The sequence below is a fragment of the Homo sapiens genome, chromosome 4 (genome assembly GCF_000001405.40).
Source record: "Homo sapiens chromosome 4, GRCh38.p14 Primary Assembly".
Classification (NCBI taxonomy): domain Eukaryota; kingdom Metazoa; phylum Chordata; class Mammalia; order Primates; family Hominidae; genus Homo; species Homo sapiens.
The window spans coordinates 12423192-12432367 of record NC_000004.12 but is presented as its reverse complement, the minus strand read 5'-3'; the positions used below and the strand labels follow the sequence as shown (position 1 = coordinate 12432367).

Sequence of the window (9176 nt, the reverse complement as noted above, 5' to 3'; positions counted from 1 at the left end):
TTTGGGCAAAATTAAAAAAAAAAAAATCAGAGTTTAGTCCTCACATGTAAGACATACATTGGTTTGATTTAGAAAGACAACTTGGAGCAGGGAAGGGGCTTCCAGATCATAGGTAGATAAGAGAAAAATGGTTGCATTCATCTGAGTTTCTGATTAGCCTTTCACTGAATACACAGTTTATAGGCATAGTCACTTGTGCCTTAGTCTGGCTTAGTGAAACAATAGGATAAAGAAAGCAATCAGATATGCATGTGTCTCACTTAACCAAAGGGATGACTTGGAGTTTTGTTTCTCCGTTGTCCGCAAGGAATTTCTTTGTCGGCAAATTATGGGGGAGGTATGTAGCTTTTTTTGTCTTCATAGCTATCTTATTTAGGAATAGAATGAGAGTCAGATATGCACGTCAGTACCCAGCTTGACTTTTCCCTTTGCTTTAGTGATTTTGGGCTCCTGAGATTTATTTTCCTTTCACATTTCTCCCCTTTTCTTTTTAAAATCTTCCAGAGAAAGCATTTTAGAAGTAAATGAGTCTCTGTTCTCAGATTTTGTCTGATCTCTCGTGGCCAGGATGGTTTATTCTAATACATGTAGGTCTTATGTTAGCAGGAAAGCTCAATTTTAGCAGGTGGTGAAGTCTCACATCCTACAGGAGGGAGGGAGAAGAACAACAACAAACAAAAAATGGAGAACAATATTGGAAAATCAATATAAGTCATGTTAGATATGAGTTCTAAATTTCTCTTCAAAGAATCAATATGTCAGTATGTTCAATTCTTTGCCTTCTACATTTAAACTTAACTTCCTCATAAAGCAACCTTTTTCGATTACCTGCTCCACCCTGACTCATTCCGATTACCTGCCCCACCCTGACTCATTCCGATTACCTGCTCATTCTCCACCCTGACTCATTGCGATTACGTGCTCATTCTCCACCCTGACTCCTTCCAATTTCCTGCTCTGCCATAACCATTTTTCCTGCCAAACCACTCACCCCCCATCACTCTCTTTAAATTAGTCAATTGGAATTAGTTTAGCCTGTACAGTCTAACACTAGCTAATAGGGGAACAACACAGCAGCAGGGGCCACGTGCGTCAGGGATAAGAACCCCTTCCCCTCCCTTGTCCAAGTGTGCACTCACCATTGCTCCATCTGTAAGGGCGCACCCTTCTATAGAAGTACATTACCTTGCTGAGAATTAAAAAGAAAATTTTATATTAGAGTGCTGTTTCTTTTGTGGTACCAAATCTTTATTTGTAATAATTGGGGGGCTTGCCCGTGATTACATTCCCCTCTGGGGGTGGTCTCTAGTTCTCTCTCATGAGGAGGCACGCCCCACCCACTTGTGGCTGCCTCAGGGCTGAGAAATCAGGACCCACCTAATGTGAAGAATAACCCCAGCTCTCAGCAACACGGAAAGAAACTGGCCAGCAAACTAGCTTGAATGATTCTCACATACTGTGGCGACAACTCTGTGCACAGACCAAGGAAGGAGAAGCCGCGGGAGCCCGTAAAGTACTTCGTTGGTGGTCAAATTCTGGAGGGCTAAATGTGTGTGTGCGTGAATGATCACAAACAACCCCACTTGCAGTGTTGTTCATGTGGATGGTGACAAGTACTACTGCTGGATGGAGTGAGTGGGTCCTCTCCGCCGTTCTGTAGCTACCTCATATGGCTTAGGGCAGATCCTGCCATGGGATTTATACCAGCATGCCAACACTAAGAGCGGCCTAATTCTCCCTTGGGGGAGCAGCCAGGGATGACAACACGAGTGGGAAGTGTGCAAGGGACCTTAAGAGGGGGAAAGGGAGGAAACAGGTCAACCTTCCAGAGCAGCGAAACAAGACACCCCCTGTTTTGAGGGGTTGAGCCTTCTGGGACAGGCAAGCAGAGACATCCCTGGTTTGAGGGGTTGAGTCTTCCGGGGCAGGCAAGGAGAGACAACCCTGGTTTGAGGGGTTGAGACTTCTGCAAATTTCAGGGGGTTGAACCTCACACAAACCTCCAGTAGTAAGAAAAATATTCAGAACTCTTCTCTCCTTTCTTCTCGGGGGAAGAAAGAGTAGCTCCACTCCTGCCAGTCCCTCCCCTACGGGAAGGGGAAGGAGAGGAGAGAACAGCAGCATAAGCAGCTGGCAGAGGCAGGGAAAGACCAGCAAAAAGCAAAGAGAAACTGGGAGAGAAAGACAGAGAGTCAAAGAGAGAGAGAGAAAGAGAGAAGCAGAGAGAGAAAGAGACAGAAAGACAGGGAGTCAAAGAGAGAAAGAGAGAGAGAAAGAGACAGAATGACGGAGTCAAAGAGAGAAAGAGAGAGAGAGAGAAAGAAGCAGAGAGAGAGAGAAAGAGACAGAAAGACAGGGAGTCAAAGAGAGAGAGAGAGAGAAAGAGAGAAGCAGAGAGAGAAAGAAAGACAAAAGAGGGAGTCAGAGAGAGAGACAAAGTCAGAGAGAGAGAGAAAGAAAAGAGATAGAAGTAGTAAAGAGAAAAGAGTTTTTTCTATTCCTTTAAAAGCCAGGGTAAATTTAAAACCTATAATTAATAATTAAAGGTCTTCTCTGTGACCCCATAACACTCCCAAACCACCTTGTTGTCAGTGTAAACAAGGGTGTAGCCCGAAAGCACTGAGGCCACTGGCAACTGTAGCCTTCCTAATCAAAAATCCTTAACCCAGTAACCCATGGATGGCCCAAATGCATTCAATCTGTAGCGGCAACTGCTTTGCTAACAGAATAAAGTAGAAAAATAACTTTTAGAGGAAACCTCATTGTGAGCACACCTGATCAGGTCAGAACTATCCTATGTTAAAAAAAAAAAAAAAAAAAAAAAAAAAAAACCAGCAAAAAGATAGCTTACTGACCCAAGAACCTTAAAGTATGAGGCTATTCTGTTAGAAAAAGATGATTTAACATTAACCACTGAAAATTCCCTTAACCCAGCATCTTTCCTAACAGGCGATCTAAATCTTAATTACCATACAAAGGTCCAGCCAGACCTAGGAGGAACTCCCTTCAGGACAGGTTCCTCCCTGGTGATTGAGGGAAAAAGACGCAATGGGTATTCAGTAAGTGATAAGGAAACTCTTGTAGAAGCAGACTTAGGAAAATTGCCTAATAATTGGTCTGCTCCAACATGTGAGCTGTTTCCACTCAGCCAAGCCTTAATGTACTTAGAGAACCAGGAAGGAACCATCTATACCAATTCTAAGTTAATTTGGACTAAACAAGGTCTTATTAACAGGGCAAAGGATAATTGAAATCCCAAATTTACAAGGTTTTCAACAAGAGTAAAGTTTGCTAAAAGTTAACAGTGTAACGTGTATTATCCTAACTTCTAATCATATGGCCTTAGGCAGTCTAGTCCACAGACATGAAGTTCACTTTGGAAAAGAATGGTTATCATCTTTAGGAAAAAAAAAGGGGGGGTGGGGAGAATTTATGTAAAAAGGAATGTTATATGGTAAATTCTTGTCCTAAAATAAATTAATTGATTGTTTAAAGAAAGGGATGTTTGCAACAAGTCAGAAAGTTGAGGCATGTTGAAGAATTGTCTGTGAAAGTTGTGGAAAAAAAATGTTATAAAAGGGAATTTATGCAAGAAATGTTGTATAATTTAAAAGTAATGGCCAGGCGCGGTGGCTCACGCCTGTAATCCCAGCACTTTGGGAGGCTGAGGCGGGCGGATCATGAGGTCAGGAGATCGAGACCATCCTGGCTAACACGGTGAAATCCTAGCTCTACTAAAAATATAAAAAATTAGCCGGGCGTGGTGGCGGACACCTGTAGTCCCAGCTACTTAGGAGGCTGAGCCAGGAGAATGGCCTGAACCCGGGAGGCGGAGCTTGCAGTGAGCCAAGATTGTGCCACTGCACTCCAGCCTGGGCGACAGAGCGAGACTCTGTCTCAAAAAAAAAAAAAAAAAAAGTAATTAGGCCTCCTGAACATAATACTATTGAAGAAACAGTTTATGTGCAAGGCATGTAAGCAAAGTAAAATATACCTTTGGTAAAAGGACTATAAGGAGTCATAAGAATGTGGATTTTCACCTACATTAAAACGTTAAAACATATTTTGTTTTAAAGGTTTAAGCAAGTTTTGAAATGTTAATTGTAAAGGAAATTCTGTGTGTAAACATATTGGTTAAGGTTAAAGGGGTATCATCCAGTTTTTCTGTGAACTGGACATTAAAATAAAAGCACAGCAGATCTTTCTTAAAGCACTAACCTGTTCTTTAACAAAAATTATAAAAGGCTAAAAAGAGTCTATAAAAATCTTACCTTATGGTCAGACATTAACAATTGGATAAATATGTCTACAAGGTTTTATTAAAATTAAGTTTAACATTAATAACATACTAACATATAGGTAAAATTCAGCTTATCTGGTATAAAAATTATCCAGGAAGCAATGTCTAATATAAAATGGTGTTTGGCTTTCTTTGGTCTAAAAACTAATAAAAATAGGTGCTAAAGGAAATGTCTCAGTAAGAAGGCACCAAGGACTATAAAGACCACTGCTGATGTCCCCACATTAAAAACGAAAGATCAGTTTCTTAGATATTATATACTTGGTTTATCTTCCACTTTCCTTTCCCTCAAAACTAAAAGTCTTTTAGCACAGGTACCACCCCTAGAATTTCCAGTAAACCAGCACCAGCCTGAGAATCCCATTCTCATCAAAGGGTGGAAAGAAGGAAAACTCGAGCCAGCCTGGGAAGACCCTGCCTTGTGTTGCTAACCACAGAGACTGCTATGCATACAGCGGAAGGGGGATGGACTATCACACTCGAGTCAAGAAAGCGCTGACCCTTCCAAAGTCATGGGCCATAGTCCCAGGAGAAAACCCTACCAAACTAAAGCTAAGAAAAACCTAACTCTCTTTTATCTATTCTATTACTCTTCCTTCTTTTCTCGCTCTATTGCTGACCATCTAGTTATTAACATAACTAAGTCAATTTTGCCTCAAACTATTGCATTTGATGCTTGCCTTGTTATACCCTGTGGGGACTTGCCAAGTCAAAGACAGCTCTCTACCTCAGAAAAGCACCTCTGTCCCTCTTGACTCCCCTCAGACTGGGCATTAGTGAATTCGGACCATTTAATCTGGGGAGATTTCAACAAAGACCCAGTGTCAACCAGAAGTCTTGCCCCCCGATGCAGAGCTTTTATACCGTAGTTGGTCCAATGTTCTGTGGACCACCAAAGAGCAAGGATGGACTGGCCCAACCAGTTTTTGTAATTTCCTAAAACTATACATGCGTTTTACTAGAGGGAGAGCCCTCCCCCACCACACACAAACTGTCAACTAAATCAGTACAAAGCTATACAGGTTATTATCTTGAACCCTCAAAGTTCTTCCCCTTTTCTAGGCCAATTCTCTTCTTTAAGCCGGTTTTATGGTATGGGGGGTCTGAGGTTTCAGGGACAGACCCTATTGGATTCTTTGAAATGTGTTTCTTTGATCCCCCACCGCCTGCACCTTCCTCTTCTTCCAAAACCTCTCACAACGAAACAATTGCTTCTCCATTTAATGACAAGAGCAAGATAGCTATCGTAGAAGTTAAAGATTTAAAACAAATTTTAGCAATTAAGACAGGATACCAAGATGCAAATGCCTGGTTAAAATGGATCAAATATTCCATCCACACATTAAACAAAAGCACATGGCAGGCCAGAGGCCCAGATTGTCCCTTTTCCACTAGGGTGGTCCTCCAGTTGGTATACTTCCCCTGATGGAAGTATAACAAAGGCATTGCAAGGTCTGACTGCTCTGTCCAGTGAGTTAGCCAACAACTCAGGGGTAAATGACCCCTTTACAGGATGGCTAGAAAAGTGGTTCAGTAAATGGAAAAGAATAATAGCCTCAATCCTTACTTCCCTCGCAGCCATAATGGGTGTACTTATTCTTGTTGGGTGCTGTGTCACACCATGCATCTGTGGGTTGGTGCAGAGTCTCATAAAAATGGCACTTACTCAAACCTCCCTTAACTATCCTCCACCGTATCCAGAGAAGCTTCTTCTTTTGGAAAATCAAGCAGAACAACTAAGCCAAGACATATTAAAGAAGTTTGAAGAGAAAGAACTGTAAGGAAACGCAAGAGGAGGGGTTCTTGGATATGAGTTCTAAATTTGTCTTCAAAGAATCAATATGTCAGTTTGTTCAATTCTTTACCTTCTACTTTTAAACTTAACTTCCTCATAAAGCAACTTTTTCAATTACCTGCTCCACCCTGACTCAGTCCAATTACCTGCTCCACCTTGACTACATTCCTATTACCTACTCCACCCTGACTCATTCCGATTACCTGCTCCACCCTGACTCATTCTGATTACCTGCTCATTCTCCACCCTGACTCATTCCGATTTCCTGTTCTGCCATAACCATTTTTCCCACCAAACCACTCACCCCATCACTCTCTTTAAATTAGCCAATCAGAATTAGTTTATCCTGTGCAGTCTAACCCTAGCCAATAAAGAAATGAAACAGCAGGAGGGGCCACATGCATCAGGGATAAGAACCCCTTCCCCTCCCTTGTCCAAGTGTGCACTCACCATTGCTCCATTTTTAAGGGTGCACCCTTCTATAGAAGTACATTGCCTGGCTGAGAATTAAAAATAAAATTTTATATTCAAGTGCTATTTCTTTGCAGCAACAAAACTTTATTTATAACAGTCATATTATTCTGAAGTCCATACATCAGTAGGAAGTATGAGAGTGGCTTATGTAGGTAAATAGGTGGCTGTTATTTTCTTCTGAAGTTTAAGTTGTGTAGCTTCAGTTTGCATGGCTTTAAGAAAGCACAGCCTAATTTTTAGTGATGTAAAATCAGGAAAAATGGGCTAAAAAAACCGAAATGAAAGAAGAAGAAAAAATGGAAATGTTATTTTGGAGACTTGTAGCCAGGAAAAATCTTAGAATTCAGTTCAAACTGAAGAAAATAATAAAAATGGAAAAACATTAGGCAAGACTAGAATCTAACAACAGGTGCACTATAGTAATCTTTTGAAATACAGTTTTTTCTCTCTCCAGTCCTATTTTCACTAAAGACAAATTATAGGACAAATCCACTTGCAAAATAAGTTTTAGTCTTATTATTCTTGGCCATAGTATTTGTATAAAGTCAGCAAGAATAATTATTTGCCATAATGCCTCCTGTATTTTTGTTTTTAAACTGGCTTTGCAGGAACATTATTCCATAAGGAATCTTAGCTTCAACTTTAATGCCTTAAGTCCAACCAATTTCTGCTAAACACTGGTATTAACTGGATGAATGCCTTACTTTGAAGTCCCAAGAAAATTTGGGGCTCCTGGGCCTGTTAGAGAGTTACATTCTTTACTTACTATAGGCCAGGAACCTGTACAGGGACTGTGTAGATAAGGTGTGAGGCCAGCTTTATCAAGGTGCTTTTGTTGGCTCTATAAGTTAATTTAATTCCTTCAAGGAGCCTGCATCTGAAAGCATGTCATTCCAGTGAAAACTTTAGTAAAATAACCAGTTGTGTCCTGTTACAAGATAAAACAGGTTCTTATTGCACTTATGCAAATAACTATATTACCATAGTTAAGAATACCCATAACTAGATTCCAAATTTTGGAGAAATCAGATAGAGAGAAATATGCTTCAAATTTTGTTTATAAAAGTATACTTAATTGCTAAAAGCTGTAAATAACTCAAAATAAAAGTTTCCTTGGCCCTGAAAAACAAAGGATCAGCAACATTTTAAGCAAAAAGTCATGAAAAGATTATTTCAGTCTTCTATAATTTCAGTCCATACAGTTAACTCTTGTTCTGCTTGATATTTGTGGACATTTCAGCTCTCCATGGGAGTCATCAAAGTTTTTTCTATTCTAGTGTCACAATCTCCAAAGTTATCAGATACCTACATTCAGGAGCACCTGCCAGAGTCCTATGCTGATTATAAAACCACTTTTTGAAAAGAATAAAAGTAAAACAACTGTAAATGACAAAAGTCTTGGAACAGGCATAGTTAAAGATACAACTGATAAGGAAATTTGGTTACTTCTGTGGCATACAACAATTTTACCTAATAAGCATAATTACTACTAATAACATATGCTAAGGCATGTCAGAATCATTGGAAAATCATATAATTCTGGAACACATGCTAATAACATATTTATATAAGTATAATTCAAAGAAGGTTAAACACTGTTACATATGTGGCAATATTTTCTATATTATTTTATTATATATCAGATAAGTGAAATATGTATTTTTGGGACATCGGGAGACAAATAACAAAAATTAGTGAGGACCTAAGTAAGAATTTGATTTTCAAAGTTTGCCAAATATAAAACCTTTAAAACATTTGATATCACAAAATAGAATCCTGGGTCATTTTAAAATAAGTCATTCATTTAGCTAAAGTGATAAAAATTTCAAAAAAAAGGAGAAAAACTTTATTCTTTGAGAGGATACTTAATTTCTCAGAAAATAAGCCCTAATAAAGACAGCATGAGGCCAATTAAATTTGTTTTTCAAATTTTTAAATAGTTTTAATTTCTTGCCCTGTGTCTCACAAACACAGTTTATTTTGATTGGCATCTTCTAGCAGGTATGAAGATGAGGCCTTAACTGCTGTCAATGTTTAAGATTTAGCAGGACTAGATGTCCTTTAAAGACCCAGGAGCAAAGCCCTGTAACTTAATGGCCCAGTGACTTTAAAAGCACATATGGAAAGTTACAAAGATGTAATAACCTTAATTAATTTTTTATTCTCATTTTTTTCTAAGCAAAGTAAAAGCTAATAATAATGGCATAGGAATTATTTTGATAAAGCATAAATCTGTTTATTAGGCCAGTTTCCCAAAGGCAAAAGAAAAGACCTTCTGCAGTACTACTGCTCTTCCCTATGGGTAGTCCATTTAAATAACCTGCAAATCAAAACTTACGAAAATGATATTTGAATTAGTTAGACACAGGAGGAGTGTTTCCTGGGTCGTAAGTGCAAATTTTCAGATTCATAGAACAAATTAAGCCAAAAGCAAATAATATTATGTTAGAACAAACATTTCCTTTAGACCTTTAAGATAAAACATTTTTGGCATCAGGCTACAGCAAACAGTTAGAACCCAAAGTGGGGAAAAAATACTTACAGGAGCTGAAAATGAGTTGGATAGAATTATTATTTCAGACATTTTGTAAGGGGAGAGAAAGCTGA

At 39.1% G+C, this 9176-nt stretch overlaps 1 annotated feature.

The window, feature by feature from the left end:
* Nucleotides 316-1515: an enhancer, noted in NCBI's record as "P300/CBP strongly-dependent group 1 enhancer chr4:12432477-12433676 (GRCh37/hg19 assembly coordinates)". NCBI's record gives its function as "activates an origin of replication core promoter dependent on BRD2, BRD4, P300/CBP, MED14 and CDK7 cofactors, with strong dependence on P300/CBP, by STARR-seq in HCT116 cells {active_cell/tissue: HCT116}" and the evidence as "EXISTENCE:reporter gene assay evidence [ECO:0000049][PMID:35650434]".